This window comes from Homo sapiens, chromosome 1, assembly GCF_000001405.40.
Source record: "Homo sapiens chromosome 1, GRCh38.p14 Primary Assembly".
In the NCBI taxonomy this organism is placed as follows: Eukaryota; Metazoa; Chordata; class Mammalia; order Primates; family Hominidae; genus Homo; species Homo sapiens.
In genome coordinates this window covers 17,055,142-17,075,255 of record NC_000001.11, presented here as the reverse complement: position 1 = coordinate 17,075,255, position 20,114 = coordinate 17,055,142, and the positions used below count along the sequence as shown (strand labels likewise).

At 48.4% G+C, this 20,114-nt stretch overlaps 1 protein-coding gene across 2 annotated transcripts in view; it reads left to right on the top strand.

The window, feature by feature from the left end:
• The window catches only part of PADI2 (peptidyl arginine deiminase 2), a 52,691-nt gene extending 44,196 nt beyond the window's left edge, over positions 1-8,495 (top strand). For both annotated transcript variants that reach the window (NM_007365.3, XM_017000148.3), the window contains 4 exons: positions 307-400; positions 3,765-3,850; positions 5,040-5,168; positions 5,979-8,495. In NM_007365.3, coding sequence (NP_031391.2) covers positions 307-400; positions 3,765-3,850; positions 5,040-5,168; positions 5,979-6,212 — 543 coding nt within the window. In that variant the 3' untranslated portion in view covers positions 6,213-8,495. The remainder of the gene's footprint in view (positions 1-306; positions 401-3,764; positions 3,851-5,039; positions 5,169-5,978) is intronic.

Sequence of the window (20,114 nt, the reverse complement as noted above, 5' to 3'; positions counted from 1 at the left end):
TTATGGGTACAACTTCATACCCTGGAAATTCTCTGCAAATTGTGTGGCTGCTTGGCAACTTGGAGATGTCCTGTCCAAGTCCACCTTTGACTCTGAGCCTTGATCTGGTGACATTGCTGAGGTAGAGGAAAGGTGAGAAATATTCCTCTGAAGCAGAGAACACCCTCCCCGTCAGCCTTTGCCACTCGGCATGGGAGGCCTGAGGCAATGAGCAGGCAAGGCACTGGGTCCTCAGCGCAGGGCCTCCCCGTGCTCCTTGGGTGCCTTCCCACTGCTGACTCTGTCCCTCTGGACTGTCTCTTGCAGAAATTCCTGCTACTCATGGCCAGCACCTCGGCCTGCTACAAGCTCTTCCGAGAGAAGCAGAAGGACGGCCATGGAGAGGCCATCATGTTCAAAGGTGAGTGGCCACAGGGCCTTGACAGGAAGTGGCGAGCTGGAGGCCCCAGAGAGACCCTCGGGAGGGTGGGGCAGATAAGCACTTTGTCCCTGAGCACCCAGCTCCACTTCCCTGGGTGTCTGGCCCGATCGGGGGTTTGTGAGGTCGCCATGCTGGGAAGCACCTCTGGCCTCCTGTGACCCTTGCTGTGGCTGGGTGGACTGTGAGCTGCCCACAGCTCCTTAGTGTCACCAGCAGTGCATAGCGCATCTTCAAGCCCTAGCGTATACTTTAAATGGCACCAGACCCAGTGGAGGGTTAAATGGTTGAAAACTGACATGCAGCTGGGTCTGGTGGCTCATGCCTACAATTCCAACACCTTTGGAGGCTGAAGAAAGAGGATCACTTGAGTCCAGGAGTTCGAGACCAATCTGGGCAACATAGTGAGAGCCCCATTTTTATAATACTTTTTTTTTTTTTTTTTGAGACAGAGTTTCGCTCTTATTGCCCAGGCTGGAGTGCAATGGTGAAATCTTGGCTCACTACAACCTCCGCCTCCCAGGTTCAAGCGATTCTCCTGCCTCAGCCTCCCAAGTAGCTGGGATTACAGGCAGGCACCACTATGCCCAGCTAATTTTTTTTTATTTAGTAGAAACTGGGCTTCACCATGTTGGTCAGGCTGGTCTTGAACTCCTGTCCTCAGGTGATCCACCCGCCTCAGCCTCCCAAAGTGCTGGGATTACAGGCATGAGCCACCACACCCAGCCTCTCTATAATAAAAATTTTGAAAAAGAAAAGGAAACTGATGTGCAATCTGCATTCAAGGAGCTTGTATTTTAGAAAGAGAGATAGAAAATAGATGCAATACAATTTAGGGACAGGAAGAAAAGTGGACTTTAGTGGGCAAAAGGCATGGTCAGACATCGTGGTTGTCAGTCCAGAAGTGAGACATTATCTTCTACGTTTAGACATTCACATAATTGGGACAGACATAGTCGGGATGAGGTTTGCATTTGAATTAATCACGGAAAGAGGGAAAGATGATCAGGTGGAGACAACCAGCCAGGTTAGAGACACCATGCCAATTCCTCATACTTCTTTTTTTTCTTTTTCAACTTCTATTTTAGATTTAGGGGGTACATGTGCAGGTTTGTTACCTGGGTGTATTGTGTGATTTGGGGTATGAATGATCCCATCACGCAGGTACTGAGCATAGTAGACAACAGTTAGTCATTCAACTCTTTCCCTCCTCTCTCCCTCCCCACTCTAATAGTCCCCAGTGTTTGCCATTGCCATCCTTATGTCCAACATGTTTTTTATTGTGATAAAATATACCTAATCTAACACATTTGTTATTTTAACCACTTGTAAGGACACAGTTCCGGGACATTAAATACATCTACAATGCTGACTAACCATCAGCACTCTCTATATCCGTTATACTTTTTTTTTTTTTTTTTGAGACACAGTCTCACTCTGTCGTCCAGGCTGGAGTGCAGTGGTGCCATCTCGGCTCACTGCAAGCTCCGCCTCCCAGGTTCAAGCCATTCTCCTGCCTCAGCCTCCCCAGTAGCTGGGATTACAGGCGCCCGCCACCACGCCCGGCTAATTTTTTGTATTTTTAGTAGAGGTGGGGTTTCACCATGTTAGCCGGGATGGTCTCAATCTCCTGACCTCATGAACCACCCGCCTCGGCCTCCCAAAGTGCTGGGATTACAGGCGTGAGCCACCATGCTCGGCCTATTTTTTTCTTAAATTACTTTTGTCACTTTTCAGGTTGGTATCCATAATATATCTCATGCCTGAAAGCCTGAGTTCCCGCAGCTGGTTGATACTTACATGACTGCCCCTCAGATCCAAAGACAGTGTTCCTGACTGTCACTGGTGTCTAGGACAGACAAGACCAATTTAACACCACCACCCTTTTTAAATTCCCCACTGATGGGAAGTTTGTTCTTGGATTGGCAAGCTTGAGTCCTGACTTCCTGGAGGCTTCCTCTCTAATATTAAACATACCCTCAAAAACTACCCATAGGATATAGGGACCATTATTTTTGTACAAATAGGGGCAAGCAGTGCCCCAGATTTCTCTTTGTATTTTAGAAAGAGAGATAGAGAGAAAATAGATAGAATACAGTTTGGGGACAGGAAGAAAACTGGACTTTGATGGACAGAAGGCATGGTCAGGCATCGTCATTGTCAGTTCAGGAGTGAAACATTATCTCCTGGACTTAGACATTCATGTAATTGGGACAGACAGAGAGAGGATGCGCGGATGTGCAGTCAGCAGAGAGTAGAAGCACATAGGAGACCTGGGGAGGAAGGTGAACCAGGCAATGCCAAAGAGCCAAGATCTCCGCTGGACCAGAGCCCACAATGTTTGGGGAAAACACATCCCTTTAAAAGATGATAAAAACTACAGACTTGCCCTCCAGAAAAATGCTTATATCAATCTATCTCCTGAACTTGGATCAGTTTTAGAAAATCACAGATCCCTAAAGTTTTCTGTTTCTACCTGGACCCTCCCTTCTGAGTCCCTAAGCCTCAAAGATTACATCCGGCTTGTAGCTGGGCATCTTTACTGCTGTCCAGTTATAAACCTGGGAAGTGCAATGGACCAGCAGTCTCTTCCCAGATGAGGCCAAAATAAATAAACAAATAATAGGTTAAGAGCATAGGCTCTGGAATCAGACTGCCTGATCTGCACACCAACTCTGCCGCTTGCTAGATGTAAGTCCTGAGACAAGTCACATAACTTCTCTGTGCCTCAGTTTCCTCATTTTTCAGGGTAGTGACTACCCCATAGAAATGTGGGGAGGATCCATGAGTTAATTCAATGTAAAGCGTTTAGAAGAGCGTCGGCCACATAGTAGGTGCTCATTGAGCATTAGGCATTACTAATCAAGCTGGAAGCCACATAAGCCATCGTGTGGTACAGGAGGAAAACGCAGGCCACTCCAGAGCAGCAGCCAAGATGAGGCAGCTCTGGAAAACAGGAAGGGTGTCCCCTTTGGCCATGCTGCTTCTGCCACATTCATGCTGGTCAGCTGCTCATCCTTAGGAGTAGGCTGTAGGTGGGAGAACCAGGGGGCTACTTGTAGCACCCCTGATCCCACTGGCCAAAGCAAGAGCAAGGCAGCTGCCACCACTGTCCTGGCTCAGATGTCATGGTCAACTCTGGAGAAAAGAGTGTGTGCTGCCCTCCCCAGACAGAGGGGGGCCTGATTTTGCCTGGGAGTGCCCTCCTGTGATCCAGCCTCTCCCCAGTCCCATCTCCCCAGTCCCAGTCCAGCAGTTAGCCCAGGCCTGGAGGATCTTGGCAAAAGGGGAACACTCAGCCTGGGTATCTAAAGCTTGACCATCCCCTGTCCTTTGAACCCCACAGGCTTGGGTGGGATGAGCAGCAAGCGAATCACCATCAACAAGATTCTGTCCAACGAGAGCCTTGTGCAGGAGAACCTGTACTTCCAGGTGAGGGCAGGGCAGGGGTGCAGGGCCAGAGGGCCCCTGGGAGGGATGAGGCTCAGGCCCTTACATCCTTGGGGCTTCCGTAGAGAATGGCCAAGGGCTCAGGAGCTCCTGACCCCGAGCACAGCAGCACAGGGAAGAGCCTCCACCAGCATCCAGCCAGCCTCCTTGCTTTGCTCCTGGGCTAAAGTCCCAGGGTTAAAGAAGTGCCAAATTGTGCCGCCCCCTCACTTGGGGAGGTAGGACCATGGGCAACTCACTAAGGCTGTCTTTGGGTCTCTCATCTCTAAAAAGGGGATAATGGGGGCCAGACACAGTGTCTCATGCCTGTAATCTCAGAACTTTGGGAAGCCAAGGCGGGAGGATTGCTTCAGGCCAGGGGCTTGAGACCAGCCTGGGCAACATAGTGAGACACTTGTCTCTACAAAAAAAATAAATAAAAACTTTGGCCGGGCCTGGTGGCTCATGCCTGTAATCCCAACTCTTTGGGAGACTGAGGTGGGCAGATCACCTGAGGTCAGGAGTTCAAGGCCAACATGCCCAACATGTTGAAACCCCATCTCTACCAAAAATACAAAAATTAGCCTGGCGTGGTGGCAGGCGCCTATAATCCCAGCTACTTGGGAGGCTGAGGCAGAAGAATCACTTGAACCCAGGAAGTGGAGGTTGCAGTGAACCGAGATCGTGCCACTGCACTCCGGCGTGGGCAACAGAGTGAGACTCAGTCTTAAAAAAAAAATTAAAAGGGAATAATAATAGCATCTATATTACAGGGCTGGAGCTTAAATAGGCAATCTATGTAATGCGCTTAGAACAGTACTAAGCACATGTACGCATTAGCTTTTGTTATTACCAAAATCATCAGTGTTATCCTCAGCTCATGGGGTGGCCCGAGGGGTCACTGAGGTGCTGTGTGGGAAGCACTTAGCACAGGGACCGGCTCTAGTGAGTGCTCAGGAAATGGCAGCTGCTGTTCTGGCATCTGTGACCTTCCTCTGTCCTATTACGACTGCTGTTCATGAACCCCGGTGGACAGGGCCAGGGAGAGGCTGCAGAGGCGCCCGCTGACTGCTAGAAGTCTCTCTGGAGTGCCGGGGCCCCTGGCCTGGTGCTGCAGACAGGGATGGGGTTGACAAGGTGGCCGGTGTGTGTCCCCCTCACCTGCATGCCCTCCATCCTTTCTCCTACCCAGCGCTGCCTAGACTGGAACCGTGACATCCTCAAGAAGGAGCTGGGACTGACAGAGCAGGACATCATTGACCTGCCCGCTCTGTTCAAGATGGACGAGGACCACCGTGCCAGAGCCTTCTTCCCAAACATGGTGAGGCCCTGCAGACCCCAACCCTCGCCCCATGCCAGTACAGGGCAGCCAGATCCAGAAGGACCCCTCAGCTGAAGCTGTCCAATGGGGAGGCCCAGGTCCCAATCCTGGCTGAGCTGCTGTGTGACCTCACCTCAGGCACTTGCCCTCTCTGGGCCTCCATTTCCTCCTAGGAGTGATATGCTCATCCTAGCTGCTTCACTGGGATACTGGGAACCCTTTTCCTTAACAGATAGGAAAGTGCTGTGCAAAAGATTAGAAGTCCTTTATGTACAGGAGGGATTTCTGTTACATAGAGGGGAGTCTTCTATAACATAAAAAGAGGTTAGAACAATACATATGCACACATGGACACATATATACACACATGAGCACACATAAACACATGTGCATGCATGGACACATATATACACACACATGCACACAGAAACACACATGCACGCATGAACATATATACACACATGCACACACAGAAATACACATGCACACATAAATGCATACATACCCATACGTGTGTGCACATTCATACACATGTACATGTACACACTGATGCATGCATATATAGCCACATATACATACATGTACAGACATATGTGAATGCTTTTGCACACACATACATACAGAGGCAGATTGCCTGGTTTTCCACTTCAGCTCTGCCATTTGTGAGTGACTTAGCCCCACTCCGTCCCTATCCAATCACAGTTACTACTTCACAGGGTTGCCGTGAGGGTTCCATGAGCTTAGGATAGGCATGTGTGTACTAGGTGCTCACTAAATGGAAGCTGTTGCCATCGCAATCCCCCGTCACAGGTGAACATGATCGTGCTGGACAAGGACCTGGGCATCCCCAAGCCATTCGGGCCACAGGTTGAGGAGGAATGCTGCCTGGAGATGCACGTGCGTGGCCTCCTGGAGCCCCTGGGCCTCGAATGCACCTTCATCGACGACATTTCTGCCTACCACAAATTTCTGGGGGAAGTCCACTGTGGCACCAACGTCCGCAGGAAGCCCTTCACCTTCAAGTGGTGGCACATGGTGCCCTGACCTGCCAGGGGCCCTGGCGTTTGCCTCCTTCGCTTAGTTCTCCAGACCCTCCCTCACACGCCCAGAGCCTTCTGCTGACATGGACTGGACAGCCCCGCTGGGAGACCTTTGGGACGTGGGGTGGAATTTGGGGTATCTGTGCCTTGCCCTCCCTGAGAGGGGCCTCAGTGTCCTCTGAAGCCATCCCCAGTGAGCCTCGACTCTGTCCCTGCTGAAAATAGCTGGGCCAGTGTCTCTGTAGCCCTGACATAAGGAACAGAACACAACAAAACACAGCAAACCATGTGCCCAAACTGCTCCCCAAAGAATTTTGAGTCTCTAATCTGACACTGAATGAGGGGAGAAGGGAAGGAGATTCTGGGATTGCCAGTTCTTCCAGCAGCCATGCTCTGAAAATCAAGGTAGAATCCATGGAAAGGGACCCCAGGACCCCGGGACCCTAGACGTATCTTGAACTGCCATCGTCATTTCAAATACATCTCCCTCAGGGTTTCCAGGTGGCCACCCCCAATTATTCATTCCTTACCAACCTCTCAAATCCTCTTGGCTTTCTCTCTGCAGTGTGGACACTGTTGGCTAGTCCTCCCCACTCCCTGAGGGTCCAGTAAGTTAGCTTAGAACCTTCCTGGAAACATTTCATCTGAGCAGGTTTCCCCACGTGTGGGATGCTCCTTTTGCCTCATCTGTCTCAGGGATGCAGGCTCCCCCGCATGCATGGGGATTTCTCCCCAGACCAGCATACTTGTGACCTGAGAGTTCAATGCGTAAAGATGCCCCTGGTCAGCCATATCCATCTTCTCTTGCCTGGTCCTTGATTCTCTGGCCGCTCCCTGACCTTCCTCCTTCCACTGCCTTGACTTTCTTCCTTTTTATTCCTGGTGCCATCTGTCCAGGCAGCTAGACAAGAACTTGTTCGCCAGCAGCCAGATTCAGGCCTTCCCAGGGGCATAATAAGTGACCAGCCCCTCCTCTCCGGACATCAGATCCAACACATAAGGACCCTGGCCTACCCTCCAGCCCAACAGCCAGTTCTGGGTCAGCTGCCAACTTAGGGGTGGTTTGATTATCCCATTGAAATTCACCAGTGCCTTTGCCAAAGACCCTCTCATTTGGACATACCCAGATTCATTCCCTGGCTCCAACTGAAAAGACTCAGTTTCAATCGTTAAAAGTTCCTTTAGGGCCAGAAGAATAAATGAATTATAATCCCATTTTGAAGAACCGATTTATAACCAATGAAAAGGTTATAATGTAATTTATATTCTTGGAGGAACAAGATTTTCATTTGGGATTATTTCCTTCAACCATTCAACAAACATTTGTTGTATGCCACTAAGCGCCAGGCACGGCGTTGGGCTCTGCAAACACAGTGGTTAGTAGCAGTCTGGACCTGGTCCCTACTGGCATGGAACCCATCACTCCCCAACATGCAAAGCCCACATTTAAAGGCCAGCCTCTGCCCCTTCAGTGATGCGCTCTTTAGAAATGCCAGTCCACTATATTCAGAAATCCGCAGGGCACAAAACTTCCAGCAAGTCACTGTTGTGGTGAAATGGGCAGTGGGGGTGGGGGGTCTTCTTTAAACAGGCCCCCTTCCCATCTACCTAGCCAGTACCCATCCAATGAGTCCCCAGAGCCTCCAGAAGCTGTTGTCTCCTCTCTGGGGACAGCAGCTCCTGCCTTTGGAGGCCAAAGCCCCAGATCTCTCCAGCCCCAGAGCTGAAAACACCAAGTGCCTATTTGAGGGTGTCTGTCTGGAGACTTAGAGTTTGTCATGTGTGTGTGTGTGTTTGGTTAATGTGGGTTTATGGGTTTTCTTTCTTTTTTTTCTTTTTTTTTTTAGTCTACATTAGGGGGAAGTGAGCGCCTCCCATGTGCAGACAGTGTGTCTTTATAGATTTTTCTAAGGCTTTCCCCAATGATGTCGGTAATTTCTGATGTTTCTGAAGTTCCCAGGACTCACACACCCGTTCCCATCTCACTTGCCCACCCAGTGTGACAACCCTCGGTGTGGATATACCCCCGTGGACTCATGGCTCTTCCCCACCCCCACTTTCTATAAATGTAGGCCTAGAATACGCTTCTCTGTTGCAAAACTCAGCTAAGTTCCTGCTTCCACCTTGATGTTGAAATATCTTATGTAAGAGGGCAGGGGATGTCGTGAAGATGGCAAGAAGAACACAGTTTCAAATTTCTGGAAAAGAGCCTGTGGTGGAGATCTAAAGATGTTTAGGGAAGAGCTCGACTAAAGAACAATGAAATAAATGGTCCAAGGGGAAGTCATATGGCTGTTGGTGTGATGTTCTTTGCTGCTTCATAGACACGGCCTGGAGTGAGGCAAGCCACACACTGGGCCCTCCTGGTCCTGCAGCCCTTGCTGTTCTGGGCACAGGGTCTGGGCTCTCAGCATAGGTATCTTGAGGGTTCGGAATCCCCAACACACTCAGCAACTGCATATTACATGGCCACCACCGAAGGTCAAGACCAGTACCCGCAATAAAGTCTGACTATGTTGTTCTGATGGGGTTCCCCAGGAGCAGAGCCTGAGATGAGCATTCAGGAACAAGTGATTTATTGAGAAGTGGCCGGCGCAGTGGCTCATGCCTGTAACCTCAGCACTTTGGGAGGCCAAGGCAGGAGGATCCCTTGAGCCCAAGAGTTCCATACCAGCTTAGGCAACATAGTGAGACCCCCATCTCTATAAAAAATTTAAAAAATTAGCTGGGCATGGTGGCACATGCCTGTAGTCCCAGCTACTTGGGGGGAGGCTGAGGCAAGAGGATCAACTGAGCCTAGGACATGGAGTCTGCAGGGAGCCACGATCGTCCCACTGCACTACATTCCAACCCACATGATAGAGCAAGACCCTGTCTCAAAAAAAAAAAAAAAAAAGGAGCCTCCGGGGAAACCAAGATGGTAACTGGGGGAGCAGGCCAAGGAAAGGGAAGAAACCATACAAGAGTGTGAGGTGAAGCCTCAGACCGATCCCTGGAGAGCTCTGGAGCATAAATGGCACCTCTGAGCTGTCCTGTCTGGAGGCTGAGTCTTTGTCCGCCTGCACCAGTCATTGGCTCTGGGGACTCTGGCCCTCTGAATGGGCGAGGGGGCACCAGGAGCTCATAGGCAACCATCTAAAGATCACAGCTGGGATTAGGAACAAAGTCACAAGCTTGTGACAAGTTCTGCCGCAACCAGAAGAGGGAACCGCAACCACGGCAGGGAATCAGCCTTGTCCATTGCTCTGGGTGATGTCGTGTCCTTTTAATCAACAGCTACTACACACAAGTATTTGTGATTTGACCCATGGTATGAAAATCCATACAACATAACCATGATCTAACAGGGTCTTTGTGAACAAACTCCTGAGGCCCTAAAATGGAGTCACCTGATTGGTTGCTGAGTCTAGAAGCTGCTTCCAAGTTCTTTGGGAGACACCTGGGGCCCTTCTCACTCCTTAGTCCCATCTTGAGCTTCTGGACCAATGTCTTGGTGCCACTATTTTAAAGGGGCCACTGCAAAATGAGAATCACTGGTTCACTCACTCCCAGGCTTAACCCAGGGGCCCAGGCCTCTGAAATCCCCTTTTTTTGGTTTTGTTTTGTTGTTTTTTTGAGACGGAGTCTTGCTCTGTCACCAGACTGGAGAGTGCAGTAGCATGATCTTGGCTCACTGCCACCTCCGGCTCCCTGGTTCAAGTGATTCTCCTGCCTCAGCCTCCAGAGTAGCTGGGATTATAGGCAAGCACCACCATGCCCAGCTAATTTTTGTATTTTTAGTAGAAACGGGGTTTCATCATGTTGGCCAGGATGGTCTCGATCTCCTGACCTTGTGATCCACCCACCTCGGCCTCCCAAAATGCTGGGATTATAGGCGTGAGCCAGCACCCTACCGAAATCCTCTTTTATACCCAACTAATGTGGTCCAAGCCACTGCAAGGCCAATCTTTCATAGATTTCCTGACCCATCTAGTTCTGCAATTCCCCAAGGGATGCTGGGATGTTCAACAAGTTCATCCTGGTGATGTTTTCACATCTTGGCCAATCACCCACCTCAGGGTCGCTGAGTGTTACCTTGAGACTTTTGAACAGCACTTTCCAATAGAAATATAATGCAAACTACATAATGTGATTTTGAATTCCCTAGTAGCCACATTTAAAAAGTAAAATGCAGGTGAAATTAATTTTAATAATATATTTTCTTTAGCCCAATCTATCCAAATAATTATCATTTCAACATGTAATCTAAAGTGTAAAATTTCAATGAGATATTTTACATTCTCATTTTTTGGTAGTAAGTCTTTGAAATCTAATGTGTATTCTATACTTATATCACACATCTATTCAGACTAGCCACATTTTAAGTGCTCAATAGCTACAAGTGGCTATCATATTGGAAGGTATTGTTCTAGAAACTTGTCTGCCAGGCTGAGCGCCAATTGTGGAAATAGGCACATTCCTTAAACCCCCAGAGTCCACTAGTTTGACTGCAATGGTTAATAAAAGTTTATTATTATTATATTGAAAAGAGAAATGTAAAATAGATACGAGCCATCACTGGCCTTGGTATGCAGACCCTTGCCCTTCCAGAAAGTCTTCTTGTCTGAACCATGGCTGCTGCCAAGTTACCAGGACCCCCCTCTCTCTCTGCAAGGTGATTGCCTTTGGCCAGGTCCCCTCTGCCCACTGTCAAGATGGGAACCCCCACCAGGTCCTCTTTTTCCCCTCACTCTTCCTGTGGATACAGCCTGGTTCTACATTTAATCTAAAATGTGTACTTGGAGTCCCAGGTGAGAGCAGCTCGTTATCTCAGATTCCTCCGGCATTCCAGATGGGATCAGAGCCACACCTTGGCATAGCCAAAACCCCACGGAAGTGGTTGGGGGGAGGTCTCTCCTCCGAAACAAAAAGCAGCCAGGAATGAATCTGCCTCTCCAGTGAGATTCATGTAGGATCCTCAAGCAAGTGGTATCAGGTCCAAGGGGCTGATGGAAAAGTTATTAGCAACTAAATATAGGAGTGACATCAAATGGCAGCATGTAGGATCCCTTCTCCAGCTGGACATGCAGAAAAAGAATGCTCCCAGACAGAAAGCCCAGCTCTGCAGCCTTGTCTCAAGCCTGGCTGATGTGAAAGACCTTCACCCCATCCCCCTGGCCAGCTGGGCTCTTTTTCAGCCCTGATCTTTGAAAAAGCAAAGGTCTTCTCTGGGTAGTCTCTAAGCAAACTGCTGGGTTCAGGCCACGCCAGCTTGGCCTCAATCCCTCACCTTCCACAAGCAAAGGTCTGCTTTCTGACAGCCCTGGTTATACCCAAAGATGACTAACAGTCTCTGACCAGCATGCTAAGGCCCCATGCGCAGGCTACTGTGTTACTGAAGAGCTGAAGAGATACGTTCAATCTTTAAAAGGAATGTTTTCCGGCCAGCTACAGTGACTCATGCCTGTAATCCCAGCACTTTGGGAGGCCAAGGCGGGCAGATCACCTAAGGTCAGGAGTTCGAGACCAGCCTGGCCAATATGGTGAAACCCAGTCTCTACTAAAATACAAAAATTAGCCAGGTGTGATGGCGAGCACCTGTAATCCCAGCTACTCAGTAGGCTGAGGCAGGAGAATCGCTTGAGCTCTGGAGGCAGAGGTTGTAGTGAGCCGAGATTGCACCACTGCACTCCAGCCTGGGGGACAGAGCGAGACTCCATCCCAAAAAACAAAAAAAAAAGGGAATATTTTGTTTTCCTACTGATGGCAATTCCTGGCACATAGTTGATGCTCAGCAAATGTGTTTTGAATAAAAGAAGGAAACATCTGTTCAGCTAGGCAATGGAAGCAGAAAAGTCAGCCCAAACATTTCTTAAACATTGATTGCATTCCTACCAGGTGGAACTATATGGAATCCCATTTGGAAGGTCAAAATGGTCAAATAGAGGCGATTTTTGTTGGTTCAACCTAATGCTTTGCATTCGTCATCTCATCTAATTCTCAAAACTAAGCTGTGAGGTTGTTATCCCCACCTTACAGATGAGGAAACTGAAGCTCAGAGACAGGAAGTGACTTGCTCAAGATTACTCAGCAGGAAATGGCAGAGCTGGGATTCATACCTGGGTGGTCTGGCTCCGGAGCCCACCCACTGAGCGCCTGCTCTTGACTACATCTCAGAAACAGCTTTCTAGCCGGGCGCCATGGCTCATGCCTATAATCCCAGCACTTTGGGAGGCCAAGGTGGACAGATCACTTGAGGTCAGGAGTTCAAGACCAGCCTGGCCAACATGACAAAACCCCGTCTCTACTAAAAATACAAAAATTAGCCAGGCGCGGTGGCACACATCTATAATCCCAGCTAATAGAGAGGCTAAAGCAGGAGAATCACTTGAACCCAGGAGGCAGAGGTTGCAGTGAGCCAAGGTCATGCCACTGCACTGCAGCCTGGGCAACAGAACAAGACACTGTCTCAAAAGAAAAAAAAAGAAAAGAAAAAAGAAACAGCTTTCTAACCCAAGTTTAGCATTCTTTCATTCACAAATGTTACCTTATCTTTGCACCAGTTTTTAGCATGTCAGGTGTCCTATTAGAAGAATCTTATCAACAAGATATCCCCTCTACCTGCAAGCAAGATGTCTGGAGATTATAGGATTCCTACAAACCCCTCTAAGGCAATAAGGCCCATAATGAAATGACCTCTACGTAGCTCAGTATGTGCTCTCTCTATTCCTCAGCTCGGAGTAAGATGGCATGTCTAAATCGTGAAAAGCAAATTATATTCATTCATCCATCCATTCACTTTTCTCCATTAACATTTGCCAAGTGTCTACTGTGTGTAAAACCAGTGATCCCACAATTTTTCATCTAAACCAGGGCACTTCTGAGATCTCAGAGGAGCCCTGCAAATAATTCCATCAGGGCAACAGAAGAATCCGGAACTATGCTCGGCAAACCAGGGTGTTTGTTCTCCCTGGAAAGCCCTGTGCATGAGACATGATCTAATCCCTCAAGGAGCTGACAGCTGAGTCAGGGAGACAGACAGGAGAGCAGAGAGGCACACTGATGGAATAGGCACCTGATAAATACTTGCTGAATGGAGGAATGAATAAGGTACAAAAATCTGTGTACACACACACACACCTTTCCTGCTGGGAGAATGACCAAGGATGGCCTGGTGTTCATTTGTCCTAAGATGAATGACTGCTGAGTGAATGTAGAAATGAATGATTAGGCAAAGAGGGGAGGAGGGGTTGCCAAGCTGAGTAGAGACACAAAGAGGTCCAGGTGTGTAATATGTCTGGGAAATTGTGATTATAGTGAGTAGCTAAAATATAGATTGCAGTAATGCTGGAAACACTAGGGTTGGTGCCCTGGAAACCGTCTGAAGGTTTGAGGTCACTGCGGTCACATGATCAATCCTGTATTTTAGGAAGCTGACAGTAACATATTTCTTCACTGATATTAAACTCATAGGGAAAACATTTTTAAGAAATTTCCTGAGGGATAAGCAAACCATGGTACAGCCCTGCTTTTAAATATTCTGCAGCATATATGATGAGACGGATCTATGCATACTAACATGGAAAGACCTCCAAGACACAGCACTTGACGAAAAAATGGCAGCTTGCAGAACATGTATGTTATCGTTTGTATTTTCTAAAAATAAAAATGGCCGGGTACAGTGTCTCACACCTCTAATCCCAGCATTTTGGGAGGCTGAGGCAGGCAGATCACAAGGTCGGCAGATCACAAGGTCAGCAGTTCGAGAACAGCCTGGCCAACATGGTGAAACCCCGTCTCTACTAAAAATACAAAAATTAGCCGGGTGTGGTGGCACACACCTGTAATTCCAGCTACTCAGGAGGCTGAGGCAGGGGAATCGCTTGAACCAGGAGGCGGAGGTTGCAGTGAGCCGAGATTGCACCACTGCACTCCAGCCTGGAGACAGAGCAAGACTCCATCTAAAAATAAAATAAAATAAAATAGAAAAATAACAGCAAGCAAAGCCATGGATTTCTGTAGAAACATACATATGTAAATACATACAAAGAAAAAAATCTGGAAGCAATCCCATGAAACTGACAATAGCAATCACCCCTGGGAAAGGAAGTGTGACTGAGGGGATTTAAGCTTTATCTATATTGCTTGAAATTTTTACATAGTGAGAATTTAATTACATATGTACAGTATTCTAAAATAATTTTTTAGAGCTGCCTGAAATCCTTGACATTGTATGTATGCTGAAGTCTTCCCATTCTGATAAGCATAATCTATTTCCCCTAATAAGGCACAGTTATCTTTTACCTCTTTCCTTTCCCCAGCTGGGCTCTCCACTACCAATTTAAGATTGATGGCTCCCTATAGACACTAACTCATTTAATTCTCCTCCCTGCAAGGCGACTGTTTCTTTTTCACCGTCTTACACAATAGGAAATGAATGCACAAAGAGGTTAAGGAACTTGCTCAAGATCACAGAGCAAATGGCTGATATAACAGGGTTTCAGACCCCTAAAGGCCTGCACACTTAACCATTCTACCTACCAGCCTCCCTAAGAGGTCAAATTGCCTTTAACGTTCTGCAGCTCTCTGACTTTTGTTTCCAGTCGGCTGGCATCTCGCCGCTACGCATGAATATTTACCCACTATTCGTATTTGCATTTCATTTGCATGGCTGTGTCTCTGACAGAAAACAGTGCTCAAAAGCCAGATTCGGCTGGAAAGGGCGTTTGATCATGGCATTATACGGTGTTTGCAAAGTGCTCACCCACACACATCCAGAGGAACAAACTAACTGCTCATTTGAGAGTATGCTGGTGACGGCAGGCATCTGGGAATGAGGCAGAAGTTAGCAGGGTGGGTGAGCTCCAAATGTATGTGTGTGTGTGCTGCTATAGGGCCAGCAGCATGACAGTCCCCAGAAGGCCTTGGACCACTTGCTAAGTCCCAGCAGCTGAGCTGACTTCAGCTGTGTGAAACGCAGCCCCATCTGGAGTGGGGGTGGCTCATGACTTTTTTGCTCCGGGAGTTCCATAGAGGCTGCTCTTGAAATTGGAGAAGCCTGTAGCCTATGATTGTCCCCATCCCACTCGAAGAGAATATTTTGAGAAGTCTAATTATATGGTGGGGTTTGCATGGGATGAGGGAAGAGAGTTTAGATAAGGCCTTTCTAAGGGCAGGTTGGCAAGGTCCAGTAGGGAGCCCTGGGTAGTTCTGTGAGGCAGCAGCACCCTCTGTGGGTAGACCAGAATGGCTGCAACCACCATGTTCCCACGAGCCTTAGGCGCACGCCTGCAGCCCAGCCCATCTACCTAACAGAAGAGGCTGACCTACTTGCTGGGTGACCTGCGGTGAGTTGTTGACACTCTCTGAGGCTCAGTTGCATCAACTGTAAATGAAGAATAGTAATCCCTACTTTGTGCCGTTGCTGAAATGATTACAGAGAGGACATGTACCCAAAGTGTTCTGCATAGGACCTGGTACACAGTACCAAATGTGTCCTCCAAATGTGGCAGTTACCATCATTAGTCACCCCAATAGCCCCATGACCCTTAGTATAGATGACCACCGAGTGCCCTAGCATAAGGGACAAGGCTTCTCTGAGAAAAATCATAGATGGGACTGGGGTGGGGGCTAGAAAGGATCTGTGCCGCTGGCTGGTTGACGTTTTGATTTGCCAATTCCGTCTATTCCAATTCTGGGAGTCCTTGACATCGGTCATGGGAGGCTCTGACAATAAATACGTTCATAAAGAATTAAAAACAGCCCAGGCGCAGATGCACAGTCCTGTAATCCCAGCACTTTGGGAGGCAGGAGGATTGCTTGAGCCCAGGAATTCAAGACCAGTCTGGGTAACATAGGGAGACTCCGTCTCTACAAAAAAAAAAAAAAAAAAACTTTTTTTTTTTTTTCAGACAGAGCCTTGCTCTGTCGCCCAGGCTGGAGTGCAGTGGCACGATCTCAGCTCATTGCAACCTCAGCCTCCTACGTTCAAGCAATTCTCTTGCCTCAGCCTCCCGAGTAGCTGGGATTACAGGCTCCCACCACCACACCCGGCTAATTTTTGTATTTTTAGTAGAGACGGGTTTCACCATGTTGGCCAGGCTGGTCTCGAACTCCTGACCTCAAGTGATCCACCTGCCTCGGCCTCCCAAAGTGCTGGGATTACAGGCACAAGCCACTGAGCCCAGCCTACAAAATTCTTTTTAAAAGTAGCTGGGCATGGTGGTGCATGCCTGTGGTCCCAGCTACTAGGGAGGCTGAGGTGGGAGGATCACTTAAGCACTGGAGTGCGAGGCTGCAGTGAGCCATGATCATGCCACAGCACTTAAACCTGGGTGACAGAGCAAGACTCTGTTTCAAAAAAAAAAAGAATTAAAAACAAACTTGCAGATAGCAATAAGTTATATGAAGAAAATCAAATAGAGTCAAGTGGGTCAAGCCCTCAAATTGCCCATAGTCTGGGGAGGCAGACATATTCATGGGTCATTGTTAAAACAGGTGTTGCATGCATGGATGGCATATGCAGAGGATATTTTGATAGGGACAATCAAGGAGGGACTTCCTAAGGGAGGAAAAAGTTGGAGCTGAATCTTCAATGATGACAAGTCAACCACATGAAGGAGGAGGAAAGGACACTCCAGATCCAAGACACGGACGTACGCAAAGGCTTGGAGGTGTGAAATGAGGCGGGGAATAGAGCAGGCTGTATTACAGGGACAGAAGTAACTGGAAGGGCCCGCGGGGGAGCCGGGGAGCCTTGGAGCTATGGTGGGAGTTGATGGTTGATTGGATATGGGGTGGGGAGAAGAATCAAGATGACATCGAGTTTCTGGCTTGGATATCCGGTAGATGGTGGTGCTAATAAGACAAGTATAAACTCCTCAGGTGAGATGTACCGTTTGGGATAGGTTGGGTTTAAAGGACCATTGGGACGCCCAGATGGAGATGCTCAGGAGACAGCCAGGGAGACGGAAAGGACGAAGCCCACTGGCCAAAGGCAAATAAAATCCTAAATTTTGGCTGGGCGCAGTGGCTCATGCCTGTAATCTCAGCACTTTGGGAGTCCGAGGCGGGTGGATCACGAGGTCAGGAGATCGAGACTGTCCTGGCTAATACAGTGAAACCCCATCTCTACTAAACAAAATACAAAAAATTAGCCGTGCGTGGTGACAGGTGCCTGTAGTCCCAGCTACTCGGGAGGCTGAGGCAGGAGAATGGCGTGAACCCGGGAGGAAGAGCTTGCAGTGAGCCGAGATCGTGCCACTGCTCTCCAGACTGGGCAACAGAGTGAGGCTCCATCTCAAAAGAAAAAAAAAATCCTAAATTTTAGATGAGAAGGCCCCAGAGCTCCACCACAGCAATCTGTTGCTGTGGGTTTTTCCCAGAGGCAAATGAATCTCCCAGGCAACATCTGATATTTCCTCCTAAATCCAACCCTCCTTCACCCTCTGGCTGGCAGAAATCATCCAGGTTGCCCTAAATTACAAGACACCAGACTACAATTGATTGTACAAATGACAGTTGATACAACATAATGCTTTTTTATTTTGTTATTTTCATTTTTTTGAGACAGGTTCTTGCTCTGTTGCCCAGGCTGGAGTTGCAGTGGTGTGATCACAGCTCACTGCAGCCTCGACCTCCTGCACTCAAGCAATCCTCCCACTTCAGCCTCCCAAGTAGCTGGTACTACAGGTTTGCACCACCATGCTTGGCGGATTTTAAATTTTTTTGTAGAGACAGGGTCTCACCATGTTGCCCAGGCTGGTCTCGAACTCCTGGGCTCAAGGGATCGATCCTCCCACTTCAGCCTCCCAAAGTTCTGGGATTACAGGTATGAGCCACTTTGCCCAGCTGGTTTTAATTTTCAATTCTGGACATGATTTCCAGCTCTTAGGGGAGAAAGACCTCCTAAAGCAAAACGCTCACCTAAGGCTGCTCAGTTTTCCTGCTGTCCAAAGACTGAGAGAGTCTGGAAAACAGGAGCAGCTTTTCCAACCCAAAAGTGTGGTTATGAGGACTAAATGAGACTGTTTATGTAAACACCTTTGCAAGTGATAAAGTTCAGTATAAACATAGTGTCTAGCAGACTGTCTGGTGAAAAGCAATATGTCACTCTCTAGACGAATGGAAATAAACCAAAAAAACCTAGGGTCTTATCATGAGGACATCTTTGGAAAATATGTCAGGATCAGGCCATGAAAATTTCTAAGTCCTTCTGCAGCTGTGACTTTCTGGCATCCCAAAGTCCAGGGCGGAGGTACAGCCGCCCAGGAATTTATTCCTCCATAACTTTGAGCTCCCCAAATCCCCACGAAGCCCAGGAATGATGTGACTGCAGGGCATGTGGGCCCATTGGCACCAACAGCCCCTCCATAAATCAAGGTCTCACTTATGCTGGCCTCAGACTGCTTTTTCCAAGGTGACCTGGGCAAACTGAAAGGGTAGTTGCTTATCTAGGGGTGGCATCTGCCTTTGAGATGAAAGAACCCTGAAAATGCTAAGAGGACCAATTCTCTAGAAATACATTCCTTTCAGGAAGAGCTTTCTTCAGCTCAGACGACAATTCAGTTAGGAGTTAGAGACAGAGCGGCAGTCTTCCCATATCTCAGCCAGTTTGGGTGACCCAAGAGGCCCCATGGGGCAGACCAGAGGGGCCCTGTTCCAGTCCTGGGTCAGCACCAGTGAAAGTCAAGGTGACCTCAGCATTGTTACCAGTTATCCACAAGACAGCCACGTGAATCACAGAATCTTAAATCAGAGGGCCCAACACCCTAATGGTTCAGGCAAGGAAACTATAGGTCAAAGATGGGGAGGGGCTTATCCAAGGTCACATGGCCTTGAAGAGAATATTCCAGGTTAGACCTAGAGGTTCAGGCCTCACTACACACCCCCTTTAATGAGGCCACACTGGCGGTATAGCGGGGTTCCAGTCAAGGACTCCAGAAACAGCCCATCCAGCCAATTGACCTGGCCATCTCAATGTCTCCAGTAGCATCCACATCAGCTGTGAGAGTGGAAACCAAAGACTATAGAAAGGCGCCCTTCACATGTCCAAAACAAGCAGACAGAAAGGGGAAAAAAAAATCACTCCTACGAAACCCCGGGACCTGCAAGGTTAACAATCTACACAAACGCGTGGAGTGACTGAAGAGGCAGGTGCCTTGGAGGCTCCAGGCCACTCCTGCCCAAGGTAAGTCCCAAGAGTGAGGCCAGCTCTGAGCAGATCCATGGAGGGGGCTGGAAAAAGAAGCTGAGATGTCTAAAATGGAAACTCAGTAAAAAACAAAACCAAAAAACTTTCTTCACAGAACTGCTGTGGGGATTAAGTGGGATAATGGACCATAATGTTTGGCACAGAGTAGAAATGGTTTCTTATATTAAATGGCTAACAAAGCCACCAAGGACTGGGTGTCCTTCTCTGGGCACACCCTCTCGTACAGAACAGAGCTCACAGTGTCTAGCTGTCTGCTCACTTGCCGTCTCCACCACTAGAGAGTAAATTCAATGAGCAGTGACCACCTGGCTTGCTCATTCCCTGCAGCATCCCAGCACTTGGTGCCTGCCACATAGTAGCCACTCCATTCGTATTTATGAATGAATGAATGAACGAACAAAAGAATGGCACCTTTGCCAGCCACCCTTGAAATCACCTCAGCTCATTCACCAACTGCCCAGTTTGTTTGGGACTCTCAGTGCAGAAACCTGGGCAGCCTCGGGCAAGCTGCACGGTATGCGACAGAAAGGGCTGACTCAAGCCAGTAAGCGTCAGAGATGAATAATAAGACTGACAAATTCTTAGGGAGGCTAGGTGTGGTGGCTCACGCCTGTAATCCCAGCACTTTGGGAAGTTGGAGCAGGATGATTGCTTGAGCCCAGCCTGGGCAACATAGCCAGACTCCATCTCTACAAATAATTTTTTAAAAAAATT